Genomic DNA, 14,539 nt, shown 5'->3' with positions numbered 1-14,539 from the left:
TCTTGATCCCAATAAATGAAGTGTGAGAAAATGACCTTTCCCATCCCAAACTAAAATCACTCACCTCTCTCCATTCCATAATCCACAGGATAGTTAAAGCAATCTTTCAGAAATGCAAATCTAATCACAGGCTCTCCCTCCTTCAGTGGCTCCTCAGGTCACCTTACAACAACGTCTCTAAATTCCCTAGGGATTTACCAGGTCTTCACAATCTGGTCACAGTTGACTGTACTAGCTCCATGTTCTAACTTTTGCTCCTTTCCATTATATACTTTAGCCAAATGGGAACTGATTATTTGATTCCTTTATTGCTGTCAAGTACTTGCTTATAGTAGTGTTGCTTTCCCTGCATGGATCAACCTCACTCCAACTCCCATTAATTCCTCTGGAAGGCTTCTCTGATCCTCAACTCCTTAGTGGTCATACCACCCTGTTGTAGTACTTATGACTTTATAACTGAATGTTCACTATTTCATGCAACCTATGAGACTAAACACCTTGAAATCAGAGACCAAAAACTCCAGCATATGGTAGGTTCTCAATAAGTATTTGTTTACCAGTATTAATAGAAATAATAACTATCATATGTTGAGTGCATATTCTGTGTCACACTCAAGTCTGTGAGATCTGAATAAAAGCCTCAGGACAAGTAGCATTTACTGGGTGCTTACCAAGGCTGTGCTAAGAGAAACATTATCTCATTGAATCCTATGAACAATCCTATAAAATGGGTACTGTTATTCTCATTTACATCTGAGGAAACAGACTCAAAGAGATTAACTGGCAGATATGGTGAAAGAATCTAGGTCTTTCTCACTTCAAAATCTGTGCCTTTAAAAAATTACAATAAGCCTTCACTTAAGCTAGTCACTAGGTGCTTGGAAACTAAACTATGTACAACGAAACTAATTTTACCGTGGGTTAATTGACAAACAAAATTTCCTGCAGCATATTTCTGGTCACAAAAACATCACCAGACTTCTAAATAAAGACCAAAATACTTCTAATATTAAACACTGAAAGAAATGTTAGCTATATATACATTTAAGAAAGATTAATTAAAAAACAAGTAAGATAATTATTTACCCAACTATTCCAGTTCAATGTCACAGGTAGTCAGAGCCTATCCCAGTAGCTCAGGGCACAAGGCAGGAACCGACCTTGGACAGGATGCCATCCTATGGCAAGGCACACTCATACACACCCAATATTCACACAGACTGGGACCATTTAGACACACCAATTAACCTAACTTGCATATCTTTGGGCTGTAGCAGGAAACCAGAGTACCCAGAGAAAACCCACGCAGACACAGAGCATGCAAACTCCAAAGACAGTGGCCCTGGCCAAAACGAATTTTTTTTCTCATCAATATTATAACTAAATGCTGTTGAATGAAACAACACTATTTGAGAACCTTTTGTATAATACACGACCTTCCCAACTTGGTTCTATTTTCTCAACCTCTACCCATTTCATCCAAACCTGACTCAGTTTTTACATTCTCAGCATCATCTTGTTTCACAAAGAAAAGAGGAAGAAGACTGGAGTCTGACTTTTCCTTAGAATTGCACAATAATCTTATTTTGTTCTCTTTTTGGACCAAAAACTCACCTTTGCCATCGCCCCCTGTGTGACTTTTTGTCTTTGCTTCTAAGTTTTCTCCTTTAAATGGATGCTAAGAACACAGTTGGTATTTTTAACGAAGAAGGGCAGTAACTCATATTCTAATTCAGAGATTCTTTCTGGAAAGACTGTTATTCAGTCAAGTATTTAGCTTCAAGAAATAGGTCAAAAACCAATGAGAAAAATATACATGATTGGATGGCTAGATGATTGATATATGAATCAGTAAATGAAATTTCACAGCAGAACCACAACACAAGCCTACGCAATTTAGGGCAATATTTCTTAGCCAGTTTCCTTTTCTGCGAAATAGAGACAATAAAAGCTTTCACTTCAAAGGATAATTGTGAAAATTAAAGTTAATACATGCAAAGCACTGAGAATATACACGGCCACCCGTAAGTACTTAAGAAATCTCTGGAAAGCTAATGAAAACCACAGATCCCTGAACCTATATTCATTCTGAACTAGAATCAGAACGCCAGGTCTAAGTGGAGAAAAATAAGAAAATCGATAAGGGTTCCAAACGATGCTAAGACTCAAGAGTTAACCGAGTGGCCCAAGTTAAGTGGAAGTGTCACAAACGAAAGATAAAGATATGGTTACAGAATGAGGAACTAACAAATAGGAACAAACAACATTCGCAAAAGAACAAAGAACACAATTTTTATTGAATTCTGCAAATATAAAATATATCTGTACAGTATTCCACCTGTTGCTAACAGCAACTGTGCTCAACAAGAACTCAAGAGTATTATTATATTTGCTTCGAAGTTAGCAAGTGATACTAGTAGAAAAGGCAATGACAAAACAATCAGGTACCAGAGGAAGAAAGAAAGGCAGTATGTCTTGGATAGTGTCTGTAAACCTGACCTAGCTCCCCAACTCCAGAAGTCCCCATCCTTGCACGGACGGTCACTGTCGCCACTGCCAAGCCTTTCCCTCCTGCGAGGGAACCCACATCGAGTGATGTGGTACAACTCCTTCAGGCAGTGAAGAACAAAAGACCAGGGAGAAGATGAGGTTGAGGGAAGGCGGCTAATACCGAGAGCCTATAATACCGCAAACACAGTGCCTGGCTCTGTCATATAAATTTAAATCGCGGGAAAGGACTTGGAGGAAGGGAACGGATAGAGCGGGATAAAGGACCAGAAAGAAGAGGGACTGCTAGGGGAAAGGGAGGAGGTAAGGAGAGTTTAGGGACTGTAGACAAAGTGGGATCAGAAAGAGGTTGCAGGCAAGGACAGCAGGGAACGACAGCTTAGAGAGGGGTGCAGGAGCTGGGAGTTGGGGCGGAAGAAGAGAACACACTGCCAGAGCTCGAAACGCAGCGAGGGGAGAGACTCACGGAGCCACCCGCTTACCTTGCTACGCCCCCCGGAGGCGACACGCTGCTGCGACCTGGGGGCCGGGAAAGACTGGGAAGGGACGTTCAGCATCTTCAAACCCCGGCCCCGGGCCCTGCCCGGGGATCGCCGCCAGACGGGACAGCACCTCCAGCTCCGGCTCTGTGGCCGGGCAGAGGCCAAGCCCCCGACCCACTTCCGGGGTCGCCAGGGGTGAGGCGCATTCTGACGCAGCACGTCCGCGGAGGGCGGAGCCAACGGGACGGAGGGAGGGCCGGCAGGGAGGAAGTACGCATGCTCAGCTAGTTCCGCATCCCGAACTTCAGCACCGGAGCAAGGTGACAGCTATTTCGTGGAAAGATTAGAGAGTGAAGCTGTTCCTTAGCCTTGGTGCTGACCGAATGTGGGAACAAATTCTTAGTCCTGTTAACCCGGAACAGCAATGTCTGTTCATTGTTAAGCAGTACCATCACACTACTTGAAATATGGACTAAAACACACTACTTGAAATATGGACTAAAACGAATTTTAGTTTCTCTGAAATTCTTTCCTGTAAGGCACTAGGCTGTAATGCAAAGAGCATCTCACACCTTTAAGAGCAAAAATATCAAATGTCAACAGCCACTACTGTGGGGTAAGAAGAAAACCTCACCTTTAATCATCCTTAAACTTCACCTTTAAGCATGCTGAGGGCTAATGAATGCGCGAAAGACGTTAGTAAAGTCACCTTCTGCTCTATTCACCCACTCACAAATTCTCCCTCCTTATGTAACTTCCTGTCTTCACTGGGAATTGTGTACTGATGCAGCTCACCTCCAGCTGTGGTGATGAAGTAACGTTTAAAAGTCAGATTTGGTTTGCATGCCATCCCTGCACTTAATGACTGAGCTGTCTTATGCAAGTTACTTTAGTATCTCAAAGTCTCATTTTCCCCATCTGCATAATGGGTTTATTAAAGATTAAAGGATCATGTGTAAACTACATACTGCAGTGCCTGATTAATATTAGGTACTGAATAAGTGGCAGTGGCTGTTTGTGCTATTCCAACATATTAATGGGAAAAGGACCAACACTGTGCAGGTAAACACCAGGCTCTAATGCTCAAAATCTGATGGTTTTTGTTTGTTTGATTGATTGTTTTGTGTGTCCCTTGGGGAACACATAGATCTTGAGAGTAGAATCCAATAAGGGAGAAAGTTTTCAGGAGAAGAAACATAGTTCTAAATAATCCTCCCCATCCTCCTTTAATTACTAATTTTTCCTAACTCTGAACATATTGTCATGCTTTAAACTTTCTCTGTTTAACTACTTAGTTCTTAAAGTGCCTAAAAAATCAAGGTTATGTTTGCAGAATCAGAAGAAAAAGTGTGTGACTATATGTGGCCATTCAAATACAAGCATTCAAATAAGGTAGCCACCTATGACATTCACCTCTATCCATTTTTATTTGCAATTGAAATGCTTATTATGAGAAGACTGAATTTGAGCTAAAAGAACCTCATGACTATAATTAACTGTATTACTTTGACTTTGCAAATTGCTTCTGTGTTCTCTCTCATTAAATGATGACATATTCTTCTAGAGTCTACACAAGAAAAACTAATCACTGAGATTTATTTCACTTCTCGTGAGAAAACTTTTACATAAGAATATCAAAAGCAGAGAACCAGAGCAAGGAAAAGTTAATATTGTTGAAGAATGTTCCATGCTTTCCAAATTTCTTAGCTCCCCTTTGTACAGAAATGGAAGATGCTATCAACTTCTGGCCTTTAGACTCCACTTTTTTAGACTCCATATCAATCACTCAAATTTAAACGTTTTGTTTTAATTCTAGGGATCCCTCAATGTAGTACATTAAGTATTAAACATCCATACTATTTTACTACTGGATTTAAGGACTGAAGAGGAGTATTAAAATATGAGTTACTTTGCTCATCATTTATTTAAAATATCTATAATTTAAAAGCCCTAAGATTGATTCCCTTTTTCAATTACAGGTAATGATTTAATGTGTTTTTCTCCATCTGCTAAGAAATCTTTACTAATAAATGAGTGATTTCTAACATAAGTCTATTTTCTTCATTATCTAATAAGATAACATTGATATGTAACTACAACATCCAACTGGCATCAGTAGGAAATAGCAGATGTTAAAAGATTCAGTCTTGAGAATTAAATACTGTCATTCTTTGCAAAATTATAACTAAATATAAATGTGCAATTTAACGAAAAGAAAAATGTATTCTTTGTAAGCCCCAAATATTTATAATACAATCAAGACATTTGTAGATGGCACCTGTTTTAGATTCCAACATTCAATTCTAGTGTAGGGATAAAGAAAAGGCCAAATACCAGAATAATTACAAAATATTTCATTTTATTAATAATTTATATACAAATAAATTAGTTTAAAATAATTATGATACATTTGTACACTAAATTTAAACCCCACAAGCTTTGGATATAATCAAAAGTAGCTAATCAGATTAATTTTCACAGGTCAGATCCTCAATTTCATCTTCGCTATCAGAATCTTCATAAAATGAAATTGTGGCTTGAATTGGAAAATTTTTCAGAAGAGCTTCTGCTTCTTGATATAAGTAATCATAACATTTTGATTTTGGCCAAAATAGTCTGAAAGAAGCAGACAACATGTTTTATTTTTTCACATTCAGGATCTTTAAACTCATGAAATGGTCAAATTTCAAGAGCTCCATATATTTAACAATTGACTTATACATTTGGATATAGCCTTAAGATACAGAGTTAAAATATGCTACTATCACAGCCTTCATGGAATCTACCTGCCCAAGTATCAATAATTGTTTGATTATTGTAAATCTTTATTCAAGCTGTAAATTGGATCAAACAAATTTACACTAAACCCTGGATATGCATAAGATCAATGTTTACCTTACTTTGTACATTATGGATATATTTATTCTTATAATATATAGAAGATTTGTCTTCCAGTTTCTAAATTCCTTTGGAAAAAATGAATTGAGTTCTACCACTACATTAAAAACTTTAATGATAGCCAGCTTTATAAAGATGACAAAATATTATGCACCTTACAAAAAGGTGGAAATAACCTATTATCTTATTTAAAACTCACAGATTTAACTCTTATAGAAGTAGACAACGTAAGTTTAAAAATGTATAAAAACCAGTATTTTAAAATTTTTGTCTATGCACTCACAACTTGAGGCATAGAAAGACTACTTCTGACCTCAACTTTGATTCTATGTGCCTGTCTTCTCCCCATTCAACTAAATTTGTGAATATCATATGAAATGTTGAGAAATTATATATGTTTTATACAAATAACTGGCATGTAAGTATTATTACCTCAGAATTTCAAAAATCTGACAAATACTAATCTTGCCTTCTGGTCTTCATCAAGGAAAAGAAAGAGGAGAGATAAGGCTGAATCACCAAGTACAGTGCAGTCATTTTAGTGCAGGGTAAACAGCCCATATATCCATACAATGGAGTCATCCCAACAAATGGAAGATTACATTATGTTCAGTATGCTCCACTTTAAAAGGCAGAAAAACAAACAATGCAGTTTATAAATGTTTCCAGCAAAAATCATAAAAAAAGTTTATATTTTTGATGCTTAAACAAGTAACTATCAATTATTCAGTCGTTCAATAAATATTTTAGTGATCCCTTGTGCCAACATAATTCACAATTTAAAGATGAATAAATCATGGTCCCTACCCTCAAAAAGTTGACAGCTGAATAAAAAGAATAAAACACACCATATTAGTCAAGATATAAATGAATAAAAATAAAATATAAGAGAACAATTAAATTGTAACCGTACTTCAGAAAAGAAAGGAATTTCTTATATAAGAAACAATTTATTTCCTAATGCGTAACTGGAACTGGCAAACCCAAAGAATGCTAGTCATTATGATACTCTGTCCAGAATTTCTCACTGTGGGCCATTTTTCTCCCAGGGCCCGCATACTTTTCTGAGTTTCTTCCTGTTCTGATTCTTCTCCGTCTCCTTGTGGACCTCTCTTTCTCTGTGTACTGGTTAGATGCTGGCCTTCCCTCAGGTTTTCATTGAGAACATCAGCCCTCCCTCTAAACAAACTAGGATGACCTGGCCCACTGTCATGATTTCCCCACCCTACATTTACCATGGACTCCCAAGTCTGTATTTCCACTTAAGATCTTGACTCTGGGCCCCTAACTTACGTACGCAGTTCTCTACAGGATATCACTCTTTGGATGCCCCATAGGCACATTAAATATGATAAGTGGAAAACTTGACTCATGATCTCACCTCCCAAATCTGTTTTCGGCCCTAATTTACATTCTTTTAGTACAGCATTCACCTGCTCACCAGCCACAAACTTAGGAGCCATTCTGGCCTTTTACCTCTTCTTCACCTAACATATCCAATACGTTATAAAGCCTAATCTATTTTGTCATTCAAGTATTTCCTAGATTCACCCAGTCTCACCCTCACTTCCACTGTCTTACAATGGTTCATCATTATTTCTTACCTGAAAAATTGCAGAACTTCCAGTTTTACTTTTGATGCCCTGACTAAGCCTATTTAACATATAACCCCCAAGACTACCTTCGGAATAAAGCCCATGGGTTCCCAACACTACATACAGGATCAGGACAGAACTCTGTACAAGAGTGTGCAAGATTTGGCCTCTGATTACCCTGCTAAAATGACCACAACTTCACACACCTAAACTCCTTGGAGTTCCCGCAAGGAGCCACACCGTTTCATGATCCTGCTTCTCTTTTCCAATGCTATTTCTTTTGCTCCCACTTCCCATTCATCTGACTAACTTTTCCAAGACTCAGCCAGGTAACCACAACTTATAATATACACTTCCCTGACCCTTCCCCCTACCACTGACAGATTTAGGCACTTCGTGCCCTGCCCATACTTGTAAAACTAACCAAACTAAATTCCATTACAACACTTGCCATGTGCTGTGACTACTTTTTCCTGTGTCCTTCACCAGTGCTAGCACACGGTAGGAAATTAGATGTAATGACTTCTATGTGTTATTTATGACCAGGGGCACTTTACAAACATCATCCAGCTCTTCATTTAACAGCTCTCGGAGGCAGGAAAACTGCAGAATTCTTAACATTTCACCTGAATAAAAGTGACACAGAATCTTAGATAAAGGCTGACTTCCTGTGACTAGGAACAGTAAACTAGCTCCGCAAGTTAAATAAACTTTTGACCCTTTCTATAACCATTCTCAATAATCTTTAGGATTTTCATTACATTTCTATTTTTTCCTACTCGGCAAACTTGTAAGACTGTAACTGTTAATCCCATTCTTCCTTCCAGATTGCAAGACAAAAGCAGCATACACACTCTGCCTGATGCGAAGTCAATTTCATTCGAACCCTTTAGGATTTAAAAATAAAAACTGTTTTGCCAGCACAAGATGTCACCGCTCTCTTACCATATCATCCCCTTTCCCTCTTCGTAATATATTCATCAAGTTCACTGAGTATGTATTCATCAACAGTCCCTTTACGTGGGACCGTGAGCCCCTACCTTTTTCAATTTGATGAGTGAGAAGATAAGTAACCTTGAAGCCAGATTTTCAGAGAGAGAGAGAGAGACTGCAGGACCAGCTGCGGAGCTGGGCTGCGCGATGCCCCTGGCTCCTCCCTGGGGCTGGAGGAGCGGGAGACCTTCGGCGAGGCCTGTCACTCACCTGACTGGGTGCCTGAATTGGTAAAGCTTTCCTGAGGCTGCGGTCATTCCAGGGCCATCGGGCATCTGGAGAGGAAAGGAAGTGAATCCAGTTATCACCCACCTCCTTCTAGAAAGTGGAAACGTGCACGACCCAGTGTTCCTCGTGCCCGCTGGGAATGTAACCCCAGGGCTCTCAGCAGCCTCGCTCCCGGCTGGGTGCCTGTGGCCCATCGCTCCAGAGGACACATCCGCCGCGTCGGCACCTTTATGGCCACCGGCAGGCGGGATGTTAAGCGAGAGGCAGGACCCGGTGTCTCGCATGTCTCTCTCAGGCCCTGCGTCCCGAGAGCCCTGGTCGATCTTCTGCACCCGTGGGAGGCGCGGCCTGAGACGCGTGGCTCACTCACCGCCTCCGCGGCGTGGTTCGGCGTCTCCTCTTCTTTCTTGCCTCCGGCGTCCACCCAGGGTCTCCAGAAGCCTGCGTATCTGCGGGATAGGGGAGCACAAGGCGCGCAGAGGAGACGTGAGCCCAGACCCGGGAGAATCCACCGAAGCCGAGCGCTGGCACCGGGCAGTGGGGGATGGAGAGTTGGAGGGGAGGAGCTGGGGAGGCGCAGGAGGGAGAGACGGGGGAAGCTGGGAGGCGCAGAGCAGCGCGGGGAAGCCTACCCGGAGTCCGCGCCCGCGCGCCGCGTAGGGCCGTCGGTGGCCGCGCACGCCGCAGCTCCACTCTCTGTACCCTCTGCGCCTCCCGCGTTCTCCATGACGCCGCAGAGCTGGGCGGAAGGCCGCTGCCAGCTCGCGGGCAATCTTGACCAGTTCCAGTAGGTCCGAGACCCGAGCTTTATATAGCCCTCGCGGCCTGCTGCACATTGAGAGGTTCGCTGCCTCTCCGCCCCTCTCCCTGCTAGCCGCATAAACAAAAAGGCTGCGCGTGAAGGCGCACCGGGCTGAGCCCCGGGTGTGAACGCGTGCAACTCCCAAATGGCCCGGGACAGGGTTTTGTCGAGCGAATGTTAATCGCCCTTCGACACATGGCTGCGGAGAAAAACAACATTCGCCCGAGCAGCCAATTTCCGTGTGAAGAGGCCAGGAGGAGATGGAATTAAGCGAGTCTACACGTTTTGTGGATTTCTGCAAAAAGGCCAAGTGACTGGTTAATTGCTTGATTCGCTGGAGACTCAGGACTTGGCCTGTGGCAAATCAACTGGTTCTGCATCCCGTGTTCTAAAAGCTGGGATGCAGACTAGAATTCAAAGGAATAAACTTAATTCCTCTTCATGGAACAATTTTCTAAAAAATGGGGAGAATGCATGGACTCCTTAAGAGAGGAATGTCGGTTTTTTAAAAAAGTATTGATAAACTAGGTTCATACTCCAGCCTATTATTATTTGAAGATAATAGAAAATTATTGGCAACAAGAGGTAAATTGTAAAAGATTCGCTGTTCTGGCTAAGAGAGCCAGAGACTGGAGTCATGTGATTTGGGCATAGAGCTCTAAATTATCTTCTCGTGTCTTTTGTGATTTTCCCCAACATTTTATCAGTGTCCTCCTACAATAACTTTTGAGTTCGTCTATACACCTCTGTCACTACTTGGTATTTTGTCACTCAATGGTAATTACAAAATTCTTTTTTGAGGGCAGTGTTGTGGAATGATAATGAAATCTTGAAAAGTTATGATATGAGACAAGTTAATCAAACGTCTGCACCCCTGTTTCTCTGATTTGAGTTACCCCTCACTTATCTACCACTAAACTTTGTAAAAAGTGTTATGCATCGAGGAAAAGATGATATATAAATGTTATAATTTTTTTCAAAATGTTTTAAATAATAAAACTGGACTTTCTCTTAAAAGTTTAGACAAAAATCTTGATTGTAAACTATAGTTGTCTCTGCTATTCATTCAGCTACTGCATAGGAAAATAATTTAATTATTAATAGTAGCTAAGAGCCTATAATGATCTACCTGCCAGGAAGGTGAGATTTGGGTTGCTTCTGATAAGAAAATCAGTAAGGATAGATACCTAATGCATGTCTGCATCCCCTACAGTTATTGTTAGGCTAAATAAAATAAAGCTTATAAAATGCGTTTTGCAGTGCCTGGCATATAGTAAGCCTTCAACAGATTTTAAGCTACGTAAAAAAATATAAGGCCTTAACAGATGTTAACCTTTCTGATAAAATGGCTTATTATTTCAGTTCCATAATGTAAACTAGTTAAATCATTGTGGAAGATGGTGTGGTGATTCCTCAAAGACCTAGAACCAGAAGTACCATTTGACCTAGCAATCCCATTACTAGGGATATATGCAAAGGAATATCAATCGTTATTTTACAAAGATGGCATGCATAATGTTTGTATGCGTATGTTCATTGCAGCACTATTTGCGATAGCAAAGATATGGATTCAACTCAAATGCCCATCAGTAATAGACTGGATAAAGAAAATGTGGTACATACACAACACGAAATACTATGCAGCCATAAAAAGGAACAAGATCATGTCCTTTCCAAGGACGTGGATGGAGCTGGAAGCCGTTATCCTCAGCAAACTAACGCAGGAACATAAAACCAAACACTGCATGTTCTCACTTATAAGTGGGAGCTGAATAATGAGAACATCTGGACACAGGGAGGGGAAAAACACACACTGGGCATGTCAGTGGGTGGGGTGGGAGGAGAGAGAGGATTAGGAAAAATAGCTAATGCATGCTAGGCTTAATACCTAGGTGATAGGTTGATAGGTGCAGCAAACCACCATGGCACATGTTTACCTATGTAACAAACCTGCACATCCTGCACATGTACCACAGAACTTAAAATGAAAATAAAAAATAAAAAAAAATCTTTTTGAGGTGGCTGTAATGTGCTAACTACTGTGCTTTCCAGATAAGGACAGTAAGGTATTCCTCCTATCCTTGAGAAGGTTACAATTATTCCAAACTCTGACCACTACAATAAACACATAAGCAAAAAAAAAAAAAAAAAAAAAAATTTAAAGTGACACATTCAATAGTAAAAGCGCATTTTAGGCAGATAGGTGGGAGGAACTTAAGAAGTCTGTTTGGGATAACCAGGAAAGCCTTCTTAGAGTAAATCAAATCTAAGTTGATATTTTTGGAAGGATTAATCAAAGAATGGTATTGTCTGGGTTGTTCAGGAGTGAGAAGAAAAGGGACTGGATATCTCTGGAGCAGAGATGCTGTAGAGATAGAAGGGGTTTGGACTATCAAGAGCCTAAAATTCTATGCTAAGTCATTTTCACTTTATTCTGTAAGCACTGATGAAAGATTTTAAGCAGGAAAGTGGAATGGCATTTTATAAAAATCACTCAGGCAGCCATATGGAAAATGGATTTAGGAAAGGCTAGAGATAGGGAGTCCATTTAAAAGGCCACTGTAATCGTCTAGGCAAGAGATAGTAAGATGTGCACTAAGAATGGAGATGAAGGGATAGATTTGAAGGATACTTAGGAAATAGAACCTGAGGAACTACTTGAGTCATAAAATGTAGGAGGACTTGAAAGTGGAGTCTGGATATATTCCCAGGTTTCTAGCCCGATTAAGTGAGTAAATGGTGATGGCTCAAACACAGACATAGAAAACAGGGAGCATAGGATAAAGAGCAGGTGAGATCCTCTTATGTTGTTTTATTCTGTTAATGATGTGCAGGAAAAAAATAATGAGTTTGGTTTTGAATCTTAAATCAGTCAGGATGGGCTGGGCTATTTGGTGGTAACAAATAATGCAAAAATCTCACAGGCTTGAAATAGCAAGGGCTTATTTTTCACTCATGCCCTACATCCATTTTTGGTTGGTGTGAGGTCGGCTCTACATCATCTTCACTTAAGGATGTAAGCTGATGGAGCCTCTTCCCGCTGGAATGTACAAGGAGAAAAGAATAAAATTATTTGCCTACCAGGTTTCAGAGGCTTCTGCCTAGAAGGGACACACATTTCACTGGCTAAAACAAGTCACATGACACACCAATTTCAAAAAGCAAGGAAGTGCAATTCTACCATGTGTTCAGAAAGTGGAGAAACAGAAATAAACAACATATAAGAGTGCCATAATCTGCCCTTCTGGCTACTAAATATTCAGTTTGTCTTCCTTCCTACATGTAAAATACAGTCACCCCAAGGAAAAGAACTCAGAATAGATCTGAGACTTTGGAAGGCTCAGTAACATGTAGGTGGAGAAGATATTCAGGGGACAACCAGAGACATGAGGTCTGGAGTTTAGTAGATAATTTAAGGCTAAAGATTTAAATGTGAGAGTCATCAGCAAAAAAAAAAATGGCGATTAAAACAATAGGAATTGATTCGTTTTCCCAGGGAAATTTTGTAGCTTGAGTCCAGGACCAAGGACAGTAGCCTAGAGATCAACATTTGATTGTAAGGTGAGAGGATATGCAAAATAAAACAAACAAACAAACAAACAAACAAAAAAATCCATCTCACTGAAAAGGAGTGGTGAAGCTGGTAGAAAGTGCATCAGTAGGCCAGGCACAGTGTATCACTCCTGTAATCCTCGCACTTTAGGACACCAAGGTGGGAGGATTGCTTGAGCTCAGGAGTTCAAGACCAACCTGGGCAACATAATGAGAGCTCATCTCCACAAAACAAAATTAAAAAAATTAGCCAGGCATGGTGGTTCATGCCTGTAGTCCAAGCTACTCAGGGAGCTGAGGCCAGAGGATCACTTGAGCCTGGGAAGTTGGGGCTGCAGTGGGGTGACAAAACAAGACTGGAAGGAAAGAAAGAGAGAAAGAGAGAGAGAGAAGGAAGGAGGGAAGGAAGGAGGAGAGAAAGAGAGGAGAAAGAGGAGAAAGAGAGAAAAGAGGAAAGGAGGAGGAGGAGAAGAAGAAGAAGAGGAAGAAGAAGAGGAAGAGGAAGAAGAGGAAGAAGAAAAGAAGAAGAGGAAGAAGAGGAATAAGAAGAAGAGAAAGAGAGTGTTTCAGTAAAGCAAGGTGCGAAAGTGCTTTAGTAAAGCAGGTGTGGTGGAAACATGGGATGAAAGAACTCCAATAAGGCAGAAGAGGTCCAACGCAGTCAGGGCTACCAAGAGGTCACATAAGATAAGGACAAGTGTTAATTGGATTTGGCAATATAACCGCTTTAAGGGGTTATAAGTGAATTTAGAACAATATCGTTTGACTGTATAGGGACAGAACCTTTTTTTTTTTTTTTTTTTTTTTTTTACAGCAAGTTGAGTTGTAGATTAGAGGTGAAGAAGAAATCAAAACAGTGAGTTGAGCTACTCTTTTGAGAGGAAAAATAGAGGGAGAGTGCTGGGTCCATAAAGGGATCTTGGTTTTAGGGTGCAGACAAAAGTATGTTTAGAAAATGAGGAGAGGAGGCAGGAGAGGAGATGCTTCTGAAGAGACAGGGGCTGGATGATGGTTCATGGTCCCCAAAGAGGAAGGAAAAAATGAGATCAATAGCCCTGAAGAAAATCCTCATAAGAATGGAGTGTGTGAATCAGTGACGACAATAATCCAGGTCTGGGAACTCCCAGGAAACAAGTTTAATTAAGGTGACTAGTTCTGGCATGGAGAAGGAGGGATCTACTGTAGTGATGAGACTTGAATCTGAGAAAATATCGGTTGTCTTAAAATTGTGAAAAGAAATGCATTACTAGAAAAAAAGGAGAACCAATTAATAAAAATATGGCAAGATTTTTACTTGACCAAATTTAAGTAAACTGAGAAACAGAAATATGAATTATTAGAAAGATCCTAAACCTACCATTTATACGTTAATTTAATGTATGCTACCTATTTATACAGATCTTGAAGATGATTTTCATGAGGCCAAGATCAATATGCTATTTTTCTTTTAGTTTTTTTTTTTTTGCATGTTTATCATTTCC

The 14,539-nt window shown here is 40.3% G+C and overlaps 3 protein-coding genes across 10 annotated transcripts in view, besides 1 other annotated feature; all 3 read right to left on the bottom strand.

Moving 5' to 3' along the window:
- The window catches only part of CYB5R4 (cytochrome b5 reductase 4), a 107,735-nt gene extending 104,576 nt beyond the window's left edge, over positions 1 to 3,159 (bottom strand). The window contains exon 1 of the mRNA NM_016230.4: positions 2,991 to 3,159. Coding sequence (NP_057314.2) covers positions 2,991 to 3,065 — 75 coding nt within the window. The 5' untranslated portion in view covers positions 3,066 to 3,159. The remainder of the gene's footprint in view (positions 1 to 2,990) is intronic.
- Positions 1 to 9,488, bottom strand: part of RIPPLY2-CYB5R4 (RIPPLY2-CYB5R4 readthrough) — a 114,064-nt gene extending 104,576 nt beyond the window's left edge. For 2 of the 4 annotated variants that reach the window (NR_174603.1, NM_001400774.1), the window contains exons 1-2: positions 9,075 to 9,243; positions 8,687 to 8,751 (exon numbers count right to left, since the gene is read on the bottom strand). The gene's annotated coding sequence lies outside the window, so the exon portion shown is untranslated. Of the gene's footprint in view, positions 1 to 8,686; positions 8,752 to 8,788; positions 9,244 to 9,336 lie in introns of those variants that run through there. The other 2 variants (NR_174604.1, NR_174605.1) reach the window with 2 other exon arrangements.
- Positions 3,039 to 3,088: a silencer, noted in NCBI's record as "silent region_17361". NCBI's record gives its function as "represses an Ori minimal core promoter by ATAC-STARR-seq in GM12878 lymphoblastoid cells {active_cell/tissue: GM12878}" and the evidence as "EXISTENCE:reporter gene assay evidence [ECO:0000049][PMID:35858748]".
- RIPPLY2 (ripply transcriptional repressor 2) lies at positions 5,333 to 9,619 on the bottom strand. 5 transcript variants are annotated; one of them, NM_001009994.3, is made up of 4 exons: positions 9,337 to 9,488; positions 9,075 to 9,153; positions 8,687 to 8,751; positions 5,333 to 5,606 (listed from the first exon to the last, which is right to left on the bottom strand). In NM_001009994.3, the coding sequence occupies exons 1-4, from the start codon at positions 9,429 to 9,431 to the stop codon at positions 5,459 to 5,461; spliced, it is 387 nt and encodes a 128-aa protein (NP_001009994.1). In that variant the 5' UTR covers positions 9,432 to 9,488; the 3' UTR covers positions 5,333 to 5,458. The 5 variants fall into 5 exon arrangements, 3 of the variants coding, with proteins under 3 accessions (NP_001009994.1, NP_001387829.1, NP_001387828.1); NR_103525.2 differs by lacking the exon at positions 9,337 to 9,488 and having other exon boundaries at positions 9,075 to 9,243; NM_001400900.1 differs by having other exon boundaries at positions 5,333 to 8,751; positions 9,337 to 9,619.

The sequence above is a fragment of the Homo sapiens genome, chromosome 6, assembly GCF_000001405.40.
Source record: "Homo sapiens chromosome 6, GRCh38.p14 Primary Assembly".
NCBI lineage: Eukaryota > Metazoa > Chordata > Mammalia > Primates > Hominidae > Homo > Homo sapiens.
Note: the sequence above shows the minus strand (reverse complement) of the source record. Positions and strands in the feature narration are given on the sequence as shown.